Raw genomic sequence first — 21,366 nt, 5'->3', positions numbered from 1 at the left:
ACAACAGTCTAATTCACCTGCAAATCCTTTCTTGATCGAGGATGGAGAGACGGTGGTTTTGAAAGAGCGTGGAATAATATGTGCAGGTGGAGTCCAAGTGAGCTAGGGACATCCCTAATGTGTGGGGTCCTGCCTTGTCTGAATGTCCCCCTAATGCAGGATGACAGGCTGGGTGGTGGCCATAGTGTGACTGAAAGGCGCGTATCCCAAGGCTAGCTGTTGATGGAGTCAATCCAGTGGCAACAGGTTGTCCTAACCCAGCTTAACTCCAAGGCAGCTTGTGCTGAAAGCTGCATAGAAGCCTGAGCTCTTCTACTTCCAGCCTCAAGACAGTGAGTCAATGAGCTTGACTTTCTGCCAAATTAAACTGGACAAATAGCCCAGACACCGTGGCTCACGCCTGTAATCCCAGCAATTTGGGAGGCCGAGGTGGGGGATCACTTGAGCTCAGGAGTTCAAGACCAGCCTGGTCACCATGGTGAAACCCTGTCTCTACTAAAAAATACAAAAATTAGCTGGACATGGTGGTGCATGCCTGTAATCCCAGCTACTCGGGAGGCTGAGGCATGAGAATCACTTGAATCTGGGAGGCGGAGGTTGCAGTGATTGAGATCGCGCCACTGTACGCCAGCCTGGGTGACAGAGCGAGACTGTCTCAAACAGACAAATAAACTGGACAAATATAAGAGGTAAATGTTTTCAGGTATTGGACAACAGACAGCACGGGACTGTGATTTTTGAGAGCAGAGAATCACATGAGCTGAAGCTCCCGTGACTGCCTCTGACTTGCAGCCACTTTTGTGTCACAGTTGAGGAGGAAGAGACCGAGCGGAGTGGTGCAATCGCTGAGCTAAGATGGAAGAGGCCAGAGTGCTGGGCTGTCAAAGTGGCTGAAGTTTACAAATGAGAATCCCAGAGAAAAACGGGTAGCTCTAGAAGTCCACAGCAACACTCATCACAGGTCTTTGTTCAAGAGCTGAGCTGTATGGGGTAGGGCAAGACTCCATGAGGCCCAGCAGAGATTGCCTGTTCCAGGGCTGAGGGCCAAACGTGATACTGGAGGTCTTGATGTACTGGGGAAGAAGAGGTGCTTCAGCCCAGCCAGGATGAAGAGACCTCGCATTCAGGTGTGACCCCAGAAAGGTCCAGTCTTAGAGGAACTATTTCCTAGGACTATGTTCAAGACCAAAATAGCCCTGCCCTAGCCAAGAATAAAGCAAACCAGATGGGACCAAAGAGCCTTCCAGTCATCAAACTACCTGCCAGACAACTCTCACAACTCTGTAAAGGAGGACAATCTAATTCAGATTGGCTACACTATATTATCCATACTTTCCAATATATAATACAAAATAACTAGATGTGCAGAAACACAAAAATGCAACTCATAATCAAGAAAAAATAGCAAGTAAAAACAGAGCCCAAGATGACCCGATGTAAAGACTGGCAGACAAGGACTTTCATGCAGATTATATGAATATATGACCAGTTGTTTAACAAAGTCACCAAGGCAATACAATGGGGAAAGGAAAGACTTTTCAACAACTAGTACTGGAAAAATGGAATAAACACATGGGAATATTTAATTTGTTTGTTTATTTATTTATTTTGAGACAGGGTCTCACTCTGTCACCCAGGCTGGAGTATAGTGGCGCAATCATGGCTCACTGCAGCCTTGACCTCCATGAGTTCAGGTGATCAATCTTCCCACCTCAGCTTCCTGAGTAGCTGGGACCACAGGCACACATCATCACACCCAGCTAATTTTATATTTTGTAGAGACAGAGCTTCACCATGTTGCCCAGGATGGTCTTGAACTCCTGGGCTCAAGTCATCTGCCTGCCTCAGCCTCCTACAGTGTTAGGATTCCAGGTGTGAGCCACCGCACCCGGCCAACAAATGAAAATAATTGAACCTCAACTACTACTACATTATGTGCAGAAAAATTATTTTGAGATGGATTATAGACCTAGCTCCAAACCTTAAACTATGAAACTTCTAAGAGAAAACATAGAAGAATATCTTTATAACCTTTGGAGTAAGCAAATATTTCTTAGAGAACAGACAAAAATTTCATAAAAGAAAAAAATTAATGACTCAGACATAAACCACAGTGTGGGGGAAAATATTTGTAAAATATTTTCTGTCCACAGAGTGAAAATGATATCTCATGCAGTTTGGATGTGTATCTGCCTGACTCCTGGAGATGGTGCATATTCTTTTATGTTGACTTAAATTTTTTTTTCTGTGAATTGCCAATTCATGCCCTTTGACTATTTTTCTATTGGTTTGTCCTTTTTTAAAAATCGATGTTTAGGTGCTTATGTTAAGTAATATGAAACCTATGCTTACATGTGTACTACAGATATTTTTCTAAGTATAATATTTGTCTTTTGATTACATTTGTTATGTTTTCCAAAGTTTTAATTTCATAGGATCAAATATGTTCATTTTTCCTGTGTAGTTTTTGTGTGTTCTTTGTTGTTTGATTTTGAGATGAAGTCTCCCTCTGTCACCCAGGCTGGAGTACAATGGTGTGATCTCGGCCCCCTGCAACCTCCACCTCCCGAGTTTAAGAGATTCTCCTGCCTCAGCCTCCCAAGTAGCTGGGATTACAGGTGCCTGCCACCAAGTCCAGTTAATTTTTGTATTTTTAGTAGAGATGGAGTTTTGCCATGTTGGCCATGCTGGTGTTGAACTCCTGACCTCAGGTGATCTGTCTGCCTCAGCCTCCCAAAGTGCTTGGATTACAGACATGAGCCACCATGCCTGGCCTAGTTTTGTGTCTTATTTAAGGAGATTGTCTTTATTCCAATATTAATAATTCCCTGAATTTTCCTCTAATTTTTAATTTTTTTAACCTTTAGATTTCTAACTTATCTAAAGTTTATTTTTAGATGGAAGGGATTTAAGTTTATTTTGCTCCAGGAAGGTAATTGATAATGCCAACACAATTCATTAACTAAATCTTCCTTTTTTCATTCAGTTGAGATACCACTTTTATCATGTATTAAATTCCCATACATTTTTGAAATTACTTCTTTTCTTGTGCCAAGAATACTCTTTTCATTTCAGTAGCTTCTAAAGGAGCTATTAATAGCTGGTGAATGAAACCTCCCTTGCTATTCCTCAATTTCTAAATGTTCTTAGCTATTCTAAGACATTTATTCTTTCTGATAAGCATTAAACATATTTTGTCCTGTTTAAAAAGCATAGTCAGGGAGCATGGGCTCGAGCCCCCTGTGCTTCCAGTGCTTCCTTGGAAGAACAAGAATAAATTAATGAGAGGTGCTTCTTACCTCCAGGGCACTCCCAGTGCCTGGCACGCATCAGGCTGGGTGTTTGTTGAATGAATGCACAGTTGACTGCTGCATCCACCCCACGACCTTAACACACACCATCAGCCTTGGAAGCAGAACTCCGGGACAGATCCGACGTGGCCACTGTCAATAGCCTTGAAAGCAGGAATGTTTGTCTCCGGTAAATAGAGAAGTGGCATCAGAGGGACAAGCTCCTCTGAAGTGTCAGGTGATTTCCCAAAGGATCATTTGTGGGGAAATATTTAGGGAGCTCTAATTTGGAAGTCCTGTTTTCCCCCCAAATACCAGGACTCCTCCCCATGCTCAGGGGGAAAACTCTACTGCAAGACCTCCCGTTTCCAGCTGACCAGCAGCCCAGAGAGCCTCCTCCCTGCACAGAAGGGCTCAGGGCAGAGTCCTTTTTCCCGTCATTGGCTGCAATGCATTGAGGAGGACCCCAAGGCAGGGCCTGCGCATCTGAACTGCCTTGGACTCTGGGGCGCCCTCACTGGAGCTCCCCTCCTGGAACCCATTTCCTCCAGGAGAAACCTTGAGAATGAAGACGGGGTCTAAGGCGTGTGAGTCCAGGGGGGCCCCTTGCTACCTCAAACTGAGAAGTAAAATCTCAAACTAAATATATGACCAGCTTAATTATGTTTATCACCTGCATAAATGTCTCTTGAAAGAAATCTTATGTCTTTGCAGTCTGTGAAGGTGTTCTTGCCTGTCTGGAACAAGAAAAGAAGATAAACATGTAGTAAAATATAGGGAAACTTGATTGAAGAACTAGTGCATTTTAACTTTGGTGACTTTTTGCAAAGCCAGATCTGAGAAGGAAAAAAAAAAAAAAGAGTCCTGCTGATGTTGGGTCCCTCCCAGAGCTCTCTTTCTTCTCCGTCAACCAATAGTTGTTTTTTCACACTGTGTGTAAAGAGAATTTAAGAAATTCTTCTGTCATTTAAGACTTGACGACCAGAAGGAATTCCACTATCTCCCTGAAAATAATTTCTCCTCGTCTGTCAATGACATCATGATTAACCTAATTTCCCAAGTTAAGTCATTTCTTCCTTTCTTCCACAAATATTTATTAAGTGCCTTCTAGGTATCAGGCATTGTTCTAAGAATGGCAGCAAAGCCGTGAATAAAATAAAATCCCTCCCCTCATGGAGCGTATAGACTAGAACGGGAGAGAAGGACAATGTACAAATTGATATGGTTTGGCTGTGTCCCCACCCAAATCTCATCTTGTATTACAGTTCCCATAATCCCCACGTGTCCTGGGAGGGACCCAGTGGGAGGTAATTGAACCATGGGGGCCGTTACACCCATGCTGTTCTCGTGATAGTGAGTTTTCATGAGATCTGATGGGTTTTTTGTTTGTTTGTTTTTGTTCTTTTTTTTTGAGACAGAGTCTCGTTCTGTTACCCAGGCTGGAGTGCAATGGTGCAATCTCAGCTCACTGCAACCTCCACCTCCCGGGTTCAAGCGATTCTCCTGCCCCAGCCTCCCGAGTAGCTGGGATTACAGGCACGTGCCACCATGCCCGGCTAATTTTTTTGTATTTTTAGTAGAGATGGGATTTCACCATGTTAGCCAGGATGGTCTCGACCTCCTGACCTCGTGATCCGCCTGCCTCGGCCTCCTAAAGTTCTGGGATTACGGGTGTAAGCCACTGCACCCTGCCGATCTGATGGTTTTATAAGGTGTTTTTCCCCTTTTGCTCAGCACTTCTCCTTCCTGCCACCATGTGAAGAAGGACATGTTTGCTTCCCTTCAGCCAGGATTGCAAGCTTCCTGAGGCCTCCACAGCCCTGCGGAACTGTGAGTCAATTAAACCTCTTTTATTTATAAATTGTCCAGTCTTGGATATTTCTTCATGCAGTGTGAGAACAGACGAATACACAAATAAGAAAATAAAAATAAGAGATGGAGGTCACATTTCTAAGCTATGTCTGGGAGCATATATGGGGACTGGGGGTTTTCTTCCCAGCTAGCTGTTATCTGATCCAAGTAACCATTTAGGGAAAAACACTTTGAAAATCGGTTGGAGCCCCTTGCCAGAGTGTGGCTGTGGTTGACCAATTATGATGAATCCGCATTTCTTGGACAGGGTTCCGAGTGATGCTGTTTGCTGTTCGAGGGGCTTGTGCAGAAAGAGCGCTTGGAAGAGCAGCTGCCACAGCTGGTGTGGGCAGGAAGCAGGTCTTTGGGCCAGAAACCTTTCTCTCAGTGGCCCTGGCAGGCCTGTGTTCTTGCATCTTCTGGGGCTGCCCCTGGGCATCTGCCTTCCAACTGAACTGACCTCAGCCTTGGAGCCTCTGTGATTCTGTGTTCAGCCTCGGCCTTGCTGCAGTCCGGGCCATCTTTCTCTTACTCCTTATCATGTCAACCCTGCTCCACACTGGAATGGTCAGATGCTAAGATGCTCTTCAGAGCTCAGTCACAAAAAACTTAATGTCAGTCTGCATCCTTGCCCGGCTTCCTTCTGACTCCACAGCTCCACGGTGACAGCAGCAAGGGCCAGTTGGGAACAAAGTGTGGGCAGTTGACAGGCACTGGGAATAGGGACAGGGGCTCTCCCTGGAATTGTCCCTCCTCTGGCCCATCCCTCTGCATCTTGATGTTACATTTCCCTGGGCAGAGTGAGCGGGTAGGGTGTATTTCTGAAAAAGCAGCAATTTACCCTTTCTTTGTACTTTTCAGAATCCCTGGTGGACTCTCGCATTTGGTGGCATTACCTGATTATCTGTGTGCCCACCATGTAGCTCCTGGGCTCTCTGCCCACGGCTTGTTCTACATCAGAAAGAGAAACTGCAATGACCCCCTCCCTGCCCTCCGGAGCCTCCTTCACCATCGAGGTGGCTTGGAAAACCCAGACGTAAAAGCTTTAAGGCAGAAGGGGGAAAGCACTGCGGTAATAAGGATGAAACTGCCCCCAGCAGGTGCTGGCAAAGTCAGCTCTCGGGGCCTTGTTCTTCCCGTTTGATCACTGCTTCTCAGCCCTCTCCTCCTCCCACCTCTGCACCCACCCTGCCTCTCTCTCCTCTCTATGGTCTTTGTTTTCCTCCCTCCCCTTCCCCAACACACATCCATGCATGTTCACACACATAGATAAAGGTCTTGCCTTTCAAGGCATTTAAAATAAAGTTGGAAGAAATATATGTATAGTGTAAAGAACACTTCTATGTCTGGATTTGCTTGTTAACATTTTGCCCCATTCGCTTTATCGTTTGTGTGTGCGTCCTCTCTTGCTCTGAAGCATTTGAAAAGTTGCTTACGTACCTCAGACCTTTGGCCCTAACAGTTTTGGGCATATTTCCTAAGAAAAGGGATATTCCCTTATGTAACCACTGTACAGTCATCAATGTCAGCAGATTGAACATGGACACAATACTTCCGTCTGATCGGTTTTTGTTTTTTTTTTAGACAGAGTCCCACTCTGTCGCCTAGGCTGGAGTGAAGTGGTACAGTTTCAGCTCACTGCAACCTCCGCCTCCTGGGTTCCAGCAGTTCTCCTGCCTCAGCCTCCTGAGTGTCTGGGATTATGGGCACCAGCCACCAGGCCTGGCTAATTTTTTTTGTAATTTTAGTAGAGATGGGGTTTCGTCATGTCGGCCAGGCTGGTCTCTAACTCCTGACCTCAGGTCGATCCACCTACCTTGGCCTCCCAAAGTGCTGGAATTATAGGCTTGAGCCACCGTGCCTGGCCAGATCTGCTGTTTGAATTCAAATCTTGTGGGTTGACACAATGAAGTCATTCATAGCCTTCCTCCGAGCCTGGGGTCCAGCCCAGGGTTGGGCAGGACCCTGTTCTCTCTCTTTAGCCTTCTTCAGTCGGGAACATCCCAACATCCCACAGCCTTTCTTTTCTTTTCTTTTCTTTTTTTTTTTTTGGAGACAGAGTCTCACTCTGTTGCCCAGGCTGGAGTGTAGTGGTGTGATCTTGGCTCACTGCAACCTCCACCTCCAGGGTTCAAGCGATTCTCCTGTCTCAGCCTCCCAAGTAGCTGGGATTCAGTCGTGTGCCACCATGCCCAGCTAATTTTTGTATTTTTAGTAGAGACAGGGTTTCACCATGTTGGTCAGGTTGGTCTCGAACTCCTGACATCAGGTGATCCGCCCACCTCAGCCTCCCAAAGTGCTGGGATTACAGGCGTGAGCCACCGTGCCCGGCCCCGACAGCCTTTCTTTTTAAAGAATACTCCCCTCCTTTGATAATGGATGGCCCTTCATTTGGGGTTTGTCCTGTGTTTCCCCACGAGTAGACAGAGGTTTTGACTCTTTGGCCGGGACCCCATGCTGGGGGTGCTGGCCCAACTCTGAGCGTCCCCTCTAGGGCCCTCCAGGTCCCACCACCCTTCGCTAGGGACATCACTGTCCACCACCAATGAAGGTGTGCCCAACTTCTCCACTGCAGAATCGCTGTTTCTTTTTCCTCCCTGCAACTGAGGAGCAGCTGGGGAGGGGCTTTCCGATGACGCCGTTTCCCGTCAGAACATCCTCCTGGCCACACCTCCCCGGATGAGTCCCGCCTGCCGCACCCTTCACCCTTCCGAGGGTTTCACATCCTCTTTTCTCCCAGGAGTCGGACAACCATGTGCTGCTGACCTCAGCAGGATAATCATGACCTAAGCTGTTCTTCTGGGGGTGAACTTCCTTAGGAAGTTTTCCCGACATTGATACACTCCCTGATAAACACTGCAGAGAAGAGCAGGGCTGGCCAGGGCTGACTCGCCTGGATTGTCTAAAATATGACAGTGGTTCACGGAGTGGGGCTCTGTGCATTCGTTAAACGCTATCGGCAGTTTTTCAGACTTTGCATGCATTGTGTATTTACTAAACTTTGGGGACAAGCTCAGTGATATCACTCCCTTAAAGCTGGTCCTTGGTCCCCGCTGTTAACCTGCCTGGATGATGCGCGCAGGTGAGGAGTTTCTGGTGCTCTCAGTTCTGCAGGTGCGGATGGAATCGTTACTCTGAGTCCCCTCCCTGCAGGGGCGCTGCCTATTAAAGAGCATTCCCTACCAGCCACTCACCTTCTCCGCAAGCTGCACACTTTCATATCCCCTGCCTTGCCTCTTCTGTGGCGAGGCAACGATAACGTCGTTGAATGGCTTGTTAATGGTGTTTTCACTAAATGCATCAGAGATACGAGTATTACCCACCATGATGATTCACTCGGGAACGCGTAGGGCTGCCCATAACTGAATGGCCACCAGTGGTGGTTTGGGCAGATAGAGATGTGTTTTTCTCTATGACAAAGAGGCACGTGTTTCAGCTGCCCCTACCGTTGCCACAGAGGCTGTCATCCTCCTGAAGGCCCACCATGGCGGTGCGATGACCTGGGCGGCCCAGGAGTGGGTCTGCATTCAGGGCAGGAGAAGGGATGTGATGGAGACCGTGCCATCTGCATCTGTCCCTTTTAGTAAGGAAGTGTGTGCTTTCCCACAGGCTCATCTCAGGGCCTCCCCTGGACTTGGCCTTCCTAGAATCATGAGTGAAGGATGCAGCGGGGAAGGGCTTGGGCACGGCGTCGAGTCTCCTGATCTGTAACACCTGCTGACCCGTCAGCTTCATTTACTGTTCAGCTACGCTGGCCACTTTCCAACCGCTAGGTAGACGCAGAAGTTAATGGCTCCTGGTGGATCCATAAATAGCTATGGTCTGATATTAGAGAATAAGACACAGGCAGACTCATAGATGGCTGGCATCCTTTCTTCCCCTTCACTAGTCTGCACTCCTGACGTTCCATCTGCGGCTTGGGGAGAAGACGGGTGATGGTGTCTCATCCCATAAAAAGAGGCCTGCTAATCCCAGTAGAACAACCCAAGGCACCGCACTTTAAAAAGCAACGACCCAATTTTGATGTTTTGGAAAAGAAGAAAGCCAAGTTGCCCTTATTTAGAAGTTAGGAGCAGCTGTCACAAAACAGTTTCATGCACGCGGCAGGAGAAGAAATAGGGTTTACAAGGTAAGGCACAGCGGGAAAACGCACGCGGGGGACAGCCCCACATATCCCCCATCTGCCCTGCGGCTAGCTCCTCTCTCTAGCTTCTCCCCTGCTCTGTGCGTGTCTCATGGGGTCTCCCAGCTGGAGATGGGGAAGGAAAGGAGGAGAGAGGGGCTGGCTACTTATTCCTCAGCCCCTCCCTGTTGGCTCGAGGTGGTCTCCTGCACCCCTGACCAGAGGCCTGGGCTCCATGCAGCACTCTCCACACAGCTTGGTCCTGGTAGATGCTCCCTCCCTTGCCCTGCAGGCCCAGCCGTGCTAGTGGTTTCCTGCTCTTCTGGCCCTGTCCTGCACTCTCCCTCTGTGGTCTCTTTCTTTTTTTTTTTTTCTTTTGAGACACAGTCTTGCTCTATCACCCAGGCTGGAGTGCAGTGGGATGATCTTGGCTTACTGCAACCTCCGCCTCCTGGTTTAGGCGATTCTCCTGCCTCAGCCTCCCGACTAGTTGGGACCACAGGTGCACTCCACCATGCCCAGCTAATTTTTGTATTTTTAGTAGAGACAGGGTTTCACCATGTTGGCCAGGCTGGTCTCGAACTCCTGACTTCAAGTGATCCACCCGCCTCAGCCTCCCAAAGTGCTGGGATTACAGGCATGAGCCACCACACCCGGCCTGTTTGTTTTTTTTTTTTTTAATTAAAAAAAAAAAACAGAGATGGGTTTTTGCTATGTTGCCCAGGCTGGTGTCAAACTCCTGGGCTCAAGTGATCCTCCCGCCTCAGCCTCCCAAAGTGCTGGGATTACAAGCGTGAGCCACCATGACCGACCTCCATGGTCTCTTTCGACCCTGGCCTCACTGCTATAAACCACCCCTTTGTTAAACTCGCCAGGATACCCAGTCTGAATGTCTGGATCCTTGACTCTCACAGAGATGGATGGAGAGAAATGAAGGAAAAATGGTGGACAGGGCAAGGGAAATGAGGGCAGAAGGAAAAGGAAAGGAAATGAGAGCTAAAGACGGGAGAAAGGAAAGGTGAGGGTGAGACCCCAGCAGACTGGCAAGAAGCCGGGACAGAAAAGCTTGCGGAAGAGGGAGGAAGGAAAGACGGGATCGAGCCCCGCAGGCGCCCTCGGGCGTGCTGCGGGGAGCTAGGGGCTGGGTGCCTCTCGCTGGTCTGTGTGTGACAGGAATCTTCTTCTGCTCCTTGACCTTGTCCTTTGTCCTCCAGCAGCCTCGGAAAAAAAAAAATCACTTCTGTATTTTGTAAAGTTTTTTTTCGTTTTTGTTTTATTTTTACTTTGTTGCTTTTAGGTTTTTCTTTTTTCTTTTTTGAGACAGGGTCTTTCTCTGTCACCCAGGCTGAAGTGTAGTGGTGCATGATCACGGCTCCTGCAGCCTCAACCTCTTGGCTAAAGCGATCCTCCTGTTTCAGCCTCCCAAGTAGCCGGGACCACAGACATGTGCCAGCCACCATGTCTGGATATATATAACATATATATCATATATAATATATAACATATATATCACGTATATAACATATGTAACACATATCACATATATAACACATATCACATAATATATATAATATATAACATATATATCATATATAATATGTAACATATATATCATATATAATATATAACATATTCAAGACCAGCCTGGGCAACATAGCAAGACTCCATCTCTTCTAAAATCATATATATGTTATATATTATATGTAATATATTACGTATATAACATATTACATATATATTATATATAAAACATACATATATTACATATATTATACATAATGCACATATTACATATAACATAGCATATATTACACATAATATATAACATATCACACATATATTACATATATTACATATAATATATAATGCATATCACATACAATATACAACATATATTGCATATATAACATACATATAACACATATTACATATAATATATAACATATATATGATTTTAGAAGAGATGGAGTCTCACTATGTCGCCCCGGCTGGTCTTGAACTCCTGGCCTCAAGTGATCCCCCTGCTTCAGCCTCTTAAAGTGCTGAGATTACAGGTGTGAGCCACCGTGCCTGGCCTGGCTCCACCATCTTTAACTGCTCTGGCTCTAACCATCACATCTGCATCCCAAAGAAAGGGAATAGGTTGGAGAAGCATGTGCCTCCTCCCAAAAGACACTTCATTCACACCCCCTGTGCTCACCTGCACTGGTGCACTGGCCAGGACACAGTCTCGTGGCAGCCACACCTCGCTGCAAGGGAGTGGGGACAAGTCAGGCAGTGTGTGCCCTGCTAGCATTTGGGAAGGAGGACAATGGTTACTGGGGGACCCGCTGTCTCAGCCAGGGGGACAGCTGAGTTTCCCTGAGTTTTATCTTTGGTGAATCTGAGCTTGTGTGGCTGGCTGGAGAGGAGGCCTCAGTGGGAGCAGTGAGGGTCCACTGGGCTCCAGAGGTGAACTGGAAAAGCCCCATTAGTGGAGGTGGCTCTGAGAGCCAGTCCCGCTCAGCCCCTCTCCTCTGTGACTCTCACAAGCCCCACCCTGCCAAGTGTAAAGTGGGGGCTAGGAAGAGCCATTGCAGACCCTTTACGCAATGCCGGGCTGCTCGCGGGCTCTCCAGCACTGGTAATTCTTCGGTTTATAAGAATTCATAGTCTATCATCATAGGATGGTCACGGCAGGTCTCGGTACCTTTTTGTTCATGGCTGCAGAGGCTCTCCAAGGGTTCTGATGGAGACCGGGCACTTGCTCTGAGCGGAATGACCCCCGCAGCCTGCCCGGGAGATGAACATACCTGATCCCGCCACTCCGGTGGGCATTACGCTCAGGCAAGCATAGCATGTTTGCAGAAGAGCCCAGTTTCAAACAAGGCTGCAGTTGAGGCAGAGGGACCCAAGCGGTGAGTTCTGATTTTCCTCGTCTTTCCTTGTCCCTGGAAGAATCGTCCACTGACCACAGATGACATCGTGTTCAGGCAGTGGTGGCAGTTCCTCAAGGACCAAATGTCCCAGCCAGATTGGTTGGCCTTGTTCCTGATGATCAAGGTAACACAGGATGTGTGTGCGTGTGTGTGTGTATGTGTGTGTGTGTGTTGGGAGGTGACTTTGTGGCTCAGGTGGGCCATCCTGAAACAACCACCCGCATCGTTCCCAGAATTCCATAGGCTTCTCTGCAGGTGAGTCACTGCTGGAGCAGAGCTGAGTGCAAAGGTCCAGGCTTTAGGCCTCAGGCCAGACCCGGGCGGCCCCAAGAGACTCCAGCCATTGGCAGTCAGAGGCAGGAGGGGTCCAGGATCATCCTCTGGCTGGTTGACCAGAGGGAGCTTGGCACATCTGGAGAAATGGATGTCAAGATTGTATGACCTTTCTTTTTTTTTTTTTTTTGAGACGGAGTCTCACTTTGTCGCCTAGGCTGGAGTGCAGTGGTGTGATCTCGGCTCACTGCAACCTCCACCTCCTGAGTTCAGTGATTCTCCTGCCTCAGCCTCCTGAGTAGCTGGGACTACAGGTGAACACCACCACGCCCAGCTAATTTTTATATTTTTAGTAGAGACCTGGTTTCACCATGTTGGCCAGGCTGGCTTCGAACTTCTGACCTCAGGTGATTGGCCCACCTTGGCCTTCCAAATTGCTGGGATTATAGCCATGAGCCACCATGCCTGGCCTGTATGACCTTTCTTATCTAAGCTTTTCTCTCTCTCTCTTTTTTTTTTGAAACAGGGTCTTGCTCTGTTGCCCAGGCTGGAGTGCAGTGGTATGATCACGGCTCACTGCAGCCTCGACCTCCCTGGCTCAGGTGATCCTCCTGTCTCAGCCTCCCAGATAGCTGGGACCACAGGCGCATGCCACCATGCCAAGCTAATTTTTTTTGGTTTACTTTTTGTAGAGATGAGATCTGTGTTGCCCAGGCTGGTCTTAAATTCCTGGACTCAATGATTCTCTCACCTTGGCCTCCCAAAGTGTTGGGATTACAGATGTGAGCCACTGCGCCCAGCCTAAACTTTTGAGGGAAGTTGAAAATTAGGCAACTTGATATTCTAATTTTTGGCAAAATTCAGGTATGTCAGCATTCTGTGTTGCTGATTAAAGGAGAACCCATACTCTTTGGACTCCAACCACTTTAAAATCTGTTGTTATTTAATAATATAATATGATGATTATCAAAATTAAATAATATAAGGGATAATGAATAATAATTCAACATTCCTCAGACTATAGATATTATTCCTAAGATTGTAATAATATTATTAACATCTCTCATATAATACATTTTGTTTTAAATTTAGTACCAAGGAAAGATGCTATTTTTTCCTTCTTGCAGAACAGACACACTTTCCTTTTTTCAGAGAGCCAGTACCACCCTTCTGCGTTTCTGTTTGTGTTGGCTTCCAGTAAACTTGTAGTAAAATTCAATGTGTAGCTCAGCCCCAGCCCCCAAACACTGGGAGAGAATGAAAGTTACTTTTATTCTTAGGCCACAGTGAGAAGTCTCGACACTGTTACAGATTTTATGCTGAAACTCTCCAATTGAACACAGAACATCACAAAATTCCTGGTTTCTGGACTATCAAAGGTACATGGAAATCATCAGCCTGGCATTTTGCAATGGCATGATCTCGGCTCGCTGCAGCCTCTGCCTCCTAGGTTTAAGCGATTCTCCTGCCTCAGCCTCCTAAGTAGCTGGGATTACAGGTGCCCACCAACATGCCTGGCTAATTTTTGTATTTTTAGTAGAGACAGGGTTTCACCATGTTGGCCAGACTGGTCTCGAACTCCTGACCTCAGGTGATCCACCTGCCTCAGCCTCTCAAAGTGTTGGGATTACAGGTGTGAGTCACCGCGCCCAGCCGGGTTCTTTTATACCCATTTTACAGAAGGGGAGGCCGAGGACAAAGAAGAATAATGCATTACTTACACTTTCACAGCTGGTGAATGAGAGAGAGGGGAGGGTTGGGTTTTAAACCAGGCCTGCTGAGGTAATGTTTCCTGTGTTACAGAATCACTTGAGAGATCCTAGTGTCTATTTAGAACACCCAAAGGATTTAGAAATGGAAAAAAGAATGGTTTTGGGACAGCTTAGTTCTCCTTCCTCATTTGGTGGTTGAGGAGCCTGAGCCCCGTGTGGTGAAGGTCACGTCCAAGGTCACCGGCAGGAGTTGGAGAGCCCGCTCTCACAGCCGTCACTGTTAGAAAAGATTCACACACACACACACACACACACACACACACACACACATACAGACACACATACACATACACACACACGTAGACACACACATACACACACACACATAGACACACATACACACACACACACACACATACACACACACATACACACACATACACACACACACATACACACACACACACAAACGAGAAAGCAAGGGCCCGCCTTGAAAGCTTGCTGTTGGCTTCCCAGGCTGAGTTGAGCACTGAATGGTGATTTGAGAACTTCCTTTTGCTCGGTTCAGTTGTGCAGATATAAGTGAAGTCAGTCTGTGGTCAGGTGTCTTACTTCAATACAAAATTATCTTGCGACAGTGACTCGGGTGGTTTTCCATTTCTCTTATTGCATCTCAGTTAGTCCCACACACAGAAGGATCCTTCAAGCTTTTAAAGGGTCTGGGACTTTTTTTTCACTTTTTTTTTTTTTCCAGACAGGGTCTTGCTGTCACCCAGGCTGGAGTGCAATGGACCAATCTCATCTCACTGTAGACTCAACCTCCCAGGATCAAGCCATCCTGCCACTTCCGTCTCCCAAGTAGCTGGGACTACAAGCAGACACCCCCATGTCTGGCTGTTTTGTTTTGTTTTTTAGTAGAGATGAATTATCACTATGTTGCTCACGCTGGTCTCAAACTCCTGGGCTCAAACGATCCTCCCACCTCAGCCTCCCAAAGTGCTGAGACTGCGGGTAGGAGCCACGGTGTCCAGCTCCATTTTTCACTTTTAAGTCTTTTTTCCCTGGGGTTTGTCTCTACCTGCATCAGCGATATTCAGACCAACGTGGACTCTGACTTGCTTTCCTTGCTGCCCTCTCGTTAACTGCACTTTGGGAAACAGGCAAAGGACTCTGTTGGGTGGGAGTCACCTCAGAGCATCACCGAGGCTCCCCAGCTCCGAGCTCTCTCCCCTCCCTACATCCTGGTAGCCTTGGGATAGTTACCAACTGCTTACAGATGATCGGAGTGAAAAATCCACAGTGTAAGACAGACATAAAGCATTTCGTATATATGATGAGCCTCCTATAAAACGTAGGGGGTTGAAGGGGCTTAAGTGTCCTCCATAGTCCCTCAATATAGGGAGGTGGGACATCTCACAGGTAAGTGATTTGCTCACGGTCTTGCCCACAAGTTAGCAGCAAATCTGGGGCTGGGATTCACGTTCCTAAGTCCTCACCCATCACACCATGAGGGTGACAGACTTCCCTATTCAGAGTCCACAACTGAGAAAGGGACTTTCCTTTACTCTGTCCAAATAGGGAGCCCCGGGGAGTCCAGAGGATGGGGGCTCCTGCGTGGCCCATTATTTTATTTTATTTTATTTTTGTACTTTAAGTTCTGGGATACATGTGCAGAACATGCAGGTTTGTTACATAGTTATACACGTGCCATGGTGGTTTGCTGCCCCCATCAACCGGCCATCAACATTAGGTGTTTCTCCTAACGCTATCCCTCCCCTAACCCCCCACCCCCTGGCCCATTCTTATTAGTTATGTAGGCAGTTGTCTAAAATGTGTGTGTCTTAGTTCATCCCTGCTGCTGTAACAAAAATATCTGACACCGGGTCATTTAAACAGAAATGGATTTCTCACCGTTCTGGAGTCTGGGAAGTCCAAGATCCAGGCGCCAGCAGGTTGAGTGTCTGGTGAGGACCTGGCCTCTGCTTCCAAGGTGGCACGATGTTGCTCAGGTGGCAGAAGGGACAAACGGCTCCCTCGCACCTCTTTTACAAGGGTACTCATCCCGCTCATTAGCACTCAGCTCCATGACCTCATCGCTGGAAAAAGGCCCCTCTTGTTAATACCATTGCCTTGGGGATTCTGTTCCAGCCTGGGACTTTGTGGGGACATCAACATTTAGACCACAGCAACATGGAAAATGGCTTCAGACAAACACCATGTAACTGGATTCGATAACTGTCTGTTGCACACCTACTCTTTGCAGGAAGGCCTGATGAAGGGTTCAGAGCTAGCAAGACAGAACTCTACACGAGGGAGCAACTAATTCAGAGAAAGGGCCGGACTGTCCTTCCCGGACAACCCTGGAAAGGCTTCTCGGGGGGGCACCATCAGGGTGTTGGAACGCCAAGGTAGGGGGCTAGATCTGGCGGCCGTGGACCGGGAAAGCTTCGCAACTGGTTCTCATTCTACGTAAGTCTTGGGAGATGGGGTAAAATTTCAATTTGAGCAGTTCAGGGAGAGTGTGAAGTGGCTTTTAAGATGAATCTTGGAGGAGAGGAGGGATTGTCTTTGAAAGGGGCAACATGTCCCAGTAGAGGAAATTTAAAAATCGGTTTTACAGAAAAAAGAAAAAGATAGTTTTCTTTCCCTATTTATTTATTTATTTTTTTGGTGGGGGGATGGAGTCTCTGTCACCAAGCTGGAGTGCAATGGCACGATCTTGGATCACTGCAGTCTCTGCCTCCTGGGTTCAAGCAATTCTTCTGCCTCAGCTTCCTGAGGAGCTGGGACTACAGGTGCGCGCCACCATGCCAGCTAATTTTTGTGTTTTTAGCAGAGGTGGGGTTTCACCATATTGGCCAGGCTGGTCTTGAAATCCTGACCTCGTGATCCACCTGCCTCGGCCTCCCAAAGTGCTGGGATTACAGGCATGAGCCACCACGCCCAGCCCCCTCATTCTTTTTGAGGCCACGCTTGATATTTGGTTTTCTGTGCTTTTTTTGCAATGAGGGTTGACAGCTTGGCTCCTGGCTGCCGTGGATGATTGAGTCATTACCTTGGCTCCAAAACCAAGTTATTGGTTAAACTACATCAAGATGAGAGCTGGAGTTCCTAGATTGTTCCTAGATTATCATCCAAAAGCACTGTTTAGTATATTTCTTCACTTTGGCATATTTCCTCCCCTCTCATCTTCACTTGCATTTCTTCACCCTGTGCCTACTCACCTGTTTAGCTTTTTCACCAAACAGGAAATTTATTAGGGCAAATCTCGAACCTCAAGGCGTCCTTGGGTAGTGTGGCCCGCCATTGTCTCCCGGGCCAGTAATTGAATCCAGTGATTTCACTTATTTTATGTAATTTATTCTGAAAACTTAGTCAAAAAAATAAATATGACAGTTTTTAATATAAATAAGTAGAATTTATCTCAATATAAATCAGCAGCCAGGTTTAAACAATTCTGTTAAAATATACATAACATAAAATTGGCCACTTTTACCATTTTAAGTGCACTATCCTGGGCATTCAGTCCATTCACGTTGTTGTGCAGCTGCCGCCACCATCCACCTGCAGAACTTCTTCTATCCCAAACTGAAACTCCACACCCACGAAACACTCACTCCCCATCCGCCCTGCCCCGGCCTCTGGTAATCGCTAATCTACTTTCTGTCTCTACGAATTTGACTCCTCTAGGTGGTCAATTTATACCTCATATAAATGGAATCCGGCAATATTTGGTCTTTCATGTTTGGCTGGTTTTGATTGGCATAATGTCTTCATTTTGTAAACAGCCAGGTTTTTAAGTTTTTGGTTGTGGGCCAGGTGCGGTGGCTCACGCCTGTAATCCCAGCACTTTGGGAGGCTGAGGCGGGTGGATCGCTTGAGGTCAGGAATTCGAGACCAGCCTGGCCAATGTGGTGAAACCGTGTCTCTACTAAAAACACAAAAATTATCCGGGCATGGTGGCTATAACTGTAATCCCAACTACTCGGGAGGCTGAGGCAGGAGAATCCCTTGAACCCGGGAGGTGGAGGCTGCAGTGGGCTGAGGTTGTGCCACTGCACCCCAGCCTAGGTGACAGAGCAAGACTCCATCTCAAAGGAAGTAATATAGACATTCTATTTCTAACTTTTTGTATCAAGTAAGATAGCTATTTAGTTTTATTTTTTCCGAATCATTTCAACACTGTGTATTGTGTAAATCCCCCCATGCTTTCCAATATTATATTTGTCATGTGCTAAATTCTCAGACATACCTGGATCCTTTTTTTTTTTTTTTTTTTGAGACAGAGTCTCACTCCGTCGCCCAGGCTGGAGTGCAGTGGCACGATCTCGGCTCACTGCAAGCTCCATCTCCTGGGTTCACGCCATTCTCCTGCCTCAGCCTCCTGAGTAGCTGGGACTACAGGCGCCCGCCACCACGCCCGGCTAATTTTTTGTATTTTTAGTGGAGACGGGGTTTCACTATGTTAGCCAGGATGGTCTCGACCTCCTGACCTCGTGATGTGCCCACCTCGGCCTCCCAAAGAGCTGGGATTACAGGTGCCCGCCACCACGCCCAGCCTACCTGGGTCTTTTTCTGAACTTCAGTTTTCTTCCACTGATCATTTGTCTATGCTTTGGTCACTGCCATATAGTTTTAATAACAAGAGCTTACTGTACATTTTCTTCTTTGAGGCAGCGTCTTGTTCTGTCTCCCAGGCTGGAGTGCAGCGGCACAATCATAGCTCATTGCAACCTTGAACTCTTGAGTTCATGCAATGCTTCTACCTCAGCCTCCCAAGTAGCTGGGACTATAGGCATGAGCTACTGTGCCCGGCCTGTTTTTATATCTGATAGAGAAAGGTTTCCTGAACATTCTTCTTTTTAAAAATGTTTGGCTAATTTTCTTTCAAGCATTCTTCCAAGTGTACTTTGAAATTCAACTTAAGTTAAAACAAATAAACAGAAAACAACGCAACGTAATTCTGATTGGGTCTGTATTGTATATGGAAGAATTGGCATGTTTTGTATGATTACATTTTTCCTACCCAGGAACACAAAATATCTCTCCTTTTGTTCAGGTACCTTGTCCTCCAGGGAATTACTGCAGTTTTCTACTCCAAGCATTGTTATTTGTTGAGTTTATTTGAAAATTCTTTTTACTTTTAGTAGCTATTTGAAATGGAAAGTTTAAAAGTTTGTGTTTTCTAAATGGTTACTACTGATACATATGTGTAAATACTCATCCGTTTGGTAATTTTTTAGTTACGTAGGCTAGATTTCCTCGTTAATCATGTCATTGGCCAACAGGAACATGTTTATCCCTTCTTCTTCAGCATTTACACCCTCTGGCCCTGGCCTTGGGCATAGGATACAGGACTTCAAGACGGCAGTGCCTCTTCCAGGAAGGCCTCTGGAATTTCATCCCTCAAGATGATAGTGCCTTTGGCTTTTGGTTTCAATATGTACATACATTTTATAACATTAAGCAGGTTTCATTGTTTTTCTGGTTTGCTAAGGATTTCTTTTTTTAGTGAGAACATTTTCTAAATGTTATCAAGTGCCTTTCAGTAGCTATTGAAATGTTACTGAAATGTTCAAATGGTCTCTCACTTTTAGTTTATTCATATAACAATTTATGTGGGTAAATATCTTAATTTGAACCAAACTTATGTTCTGGAATCAAGCCTACTGAGTCATGGGATTTTTTTTTTTTTTTTGAGATGGAGTCTCACTCTGTTGCCCAGGCTGGAGTGCAGTGGCGTGATCTTGGCTCACTGCAAGCTCTGCCTCCTGGGTTCACACCATTCTCCTGCCTCAGCCTCCCAAGTAGCTGGGATTACAGGCACCGCCACCATGCCCAGCTAATTTTTTTGTATTTTTAGTAGAGATGGGGTTTCACTGTGTTAGCCAGGATGGTCTCGATCTCCTGACCTCATGATCCACCTGCCTCAGCCTCCCAAAGTGCTGGGATTACAGGTGTGAGCCACCATACCTGGCCGGGATCACTTTTATTTTTTTAGAGAGAGGGTTTCACCATGTTGCCCAGGCTGGTCTCAAATTCCTGGGCTCAAGCAATCTTCCCACCTTGGCCTCCCAAAATGCTGGGATTACAGGTGTGAGCCACCGCACCCAGCCTCCTAAGGATCATTTTTAATAGGGACAGTTACTGCCCACTTGCTGATGGTTGATTTGGGTTCTTGAATCTCTCATTTCCCGTGAGACATTGATCTCTCATTTTCCTTGACTACTTTGGTCAGTCTTTGCTAGCAAAGCCTTCACTTTTATAAAATAACCTAGGAAAACCTTCACTTTATAAAAATAACCTCTTGCCTGTAATCCCAGCACTTTGGGAGGCCGAGGCGGGAGAATTGCCAGAGGCCAGGAGTTTGAGACTGGCCTGGGCAATATAGTGAGACCCCATCTCTATAAAAAAAAAGATAAAATAATCTCTTCAGGGGTTCTGTAGTAATTTAAATAACATGGAAATTATATATTCATGGAAGGTTTGTCAGAATCGGTAAAATGGTGTTGGCCTGGCGACCTCTGGGGGGAAGGGAGAGGGGGAGAAGTTTGTTTTTGTTTTTGAGACAGTCTCTCTCTGTCGCTCAGGCTGGAGTGCAGTGGCGTGATCTCAGCTCACTGCAACCTCCGTTTCCTGGGTTCAAGTGATTCTCGTGCCTCAGCCTCCCAAGTAGCTGAGATTACAGGTGCCTGCCACCACGCCCTGCTAATTTTTGTATTTTTAGTAGAGACGGGGCTTTGCCATGTTGCCCAGGGTGGTCTCAAACTCCTGGGCTCAAGTGACCTGCCCGCCTTGGCCTCCCCAAGTGCTGGCATTACAGGTGTGAGCCGCCCACCGTGCCCAGCCTGTTTTTGTTTTTTTGATTTTTGTTTTTGGCTCAAACCAGCAGTCCCCAACCTTTTTGGCACCAGGGATGAGTTTTGTGGAAGAAAATTTTTTCCATGGATGGGGGCAGGGGTGGGGGATGGTTTCAGGATGATTCAAGCACATTACATTGATTGTGTACTTTATTATCATTACATTGTAATATATAATGAAATCCTTATACAACTGCGCTATCATGAAGAATCAGTGGGAGCCCTGAGCTTGTTTTCCTGCAACTAGACAGACCCATCTGGGGGTGATGGAGATGGTGACAGGTCATCAGGCATTAGATTCTCATAAGAAGTCCACAACCGCTGGGCGCGGTGGCTCAG

The 21,366-nt window shown here is 46.7% G+C and overlaps 1 long non-coding RNA gene across 1 annotated transcript, besides 3 other annotated features; it reads left to right on the top strand.

Annotated features, from left to right (window-relative positions):
* Positions 1 to 5,024: 5,024 nt before the first annotated feature.
* LOC124904066 (uncharacterized) lies at positions 5,025 to 6,460 on the top strand. The gene is made up of 2 exons (XR_007065922.1): positions 5,025 to 5,120; positions 6,003 to 6,460. It is a non-coding gene; the product is annotated as an uncharacterized LOC124904066 (long non-coding RNA).
* Positions 7,486 to 7,945: an enhancer, noted in NCBI's record as "active region_12901". NCBI's record gives its function as "activates an Ori minimal core promoter by ATAC-STARR-seq in GM12878 lymphoblastoid cells {active_cell/tissue: GM12878}" and the evidence as "EXISTENCE:reporter gene assay evidence [ECO:0000049][PMID:35858748]".
* Positions 7,486 to 8,157: a biological region, named in NCBI's record as "H3K4me1 hESC enhancer GRCh37_chr17:76641825-76642326".
* Positions 7,656 to 8,157: an enhancer, noted in NCBI's record as "H3K4me1 hESC enhancer chr17:76641825-76642326 (GRCh37/hg19 assembly coordinates)". NCBI's record gives its function as "activates a minimal SCP1, AML or CMV promoter by ChIP-STARR-seq in primed H9 embryonic stem cells {active_cell/tissue: H9 hESC(primed)}" and the evidence as "EXISTENCE:reporter gene assay evidence [ECO:0000049][PMID:30033119]".

This window comes from Homo sapiens, chromosome 17 (assembly GCF_000001405.40).
Source record: "Homo sapiens chromosome 17, GRCh38.p14 Primary Assembly".
In the NCBI taxonomy this organism is placed as follows: domain Eukaryota; kingdom Metazoa; phylum Chordata; class Mammalia; order Primates; family Hominidae; genus Homo; species Homo sapiens.
This window is presented reverse-complemented; position numbering and strand designations above follow the sequence as displayed.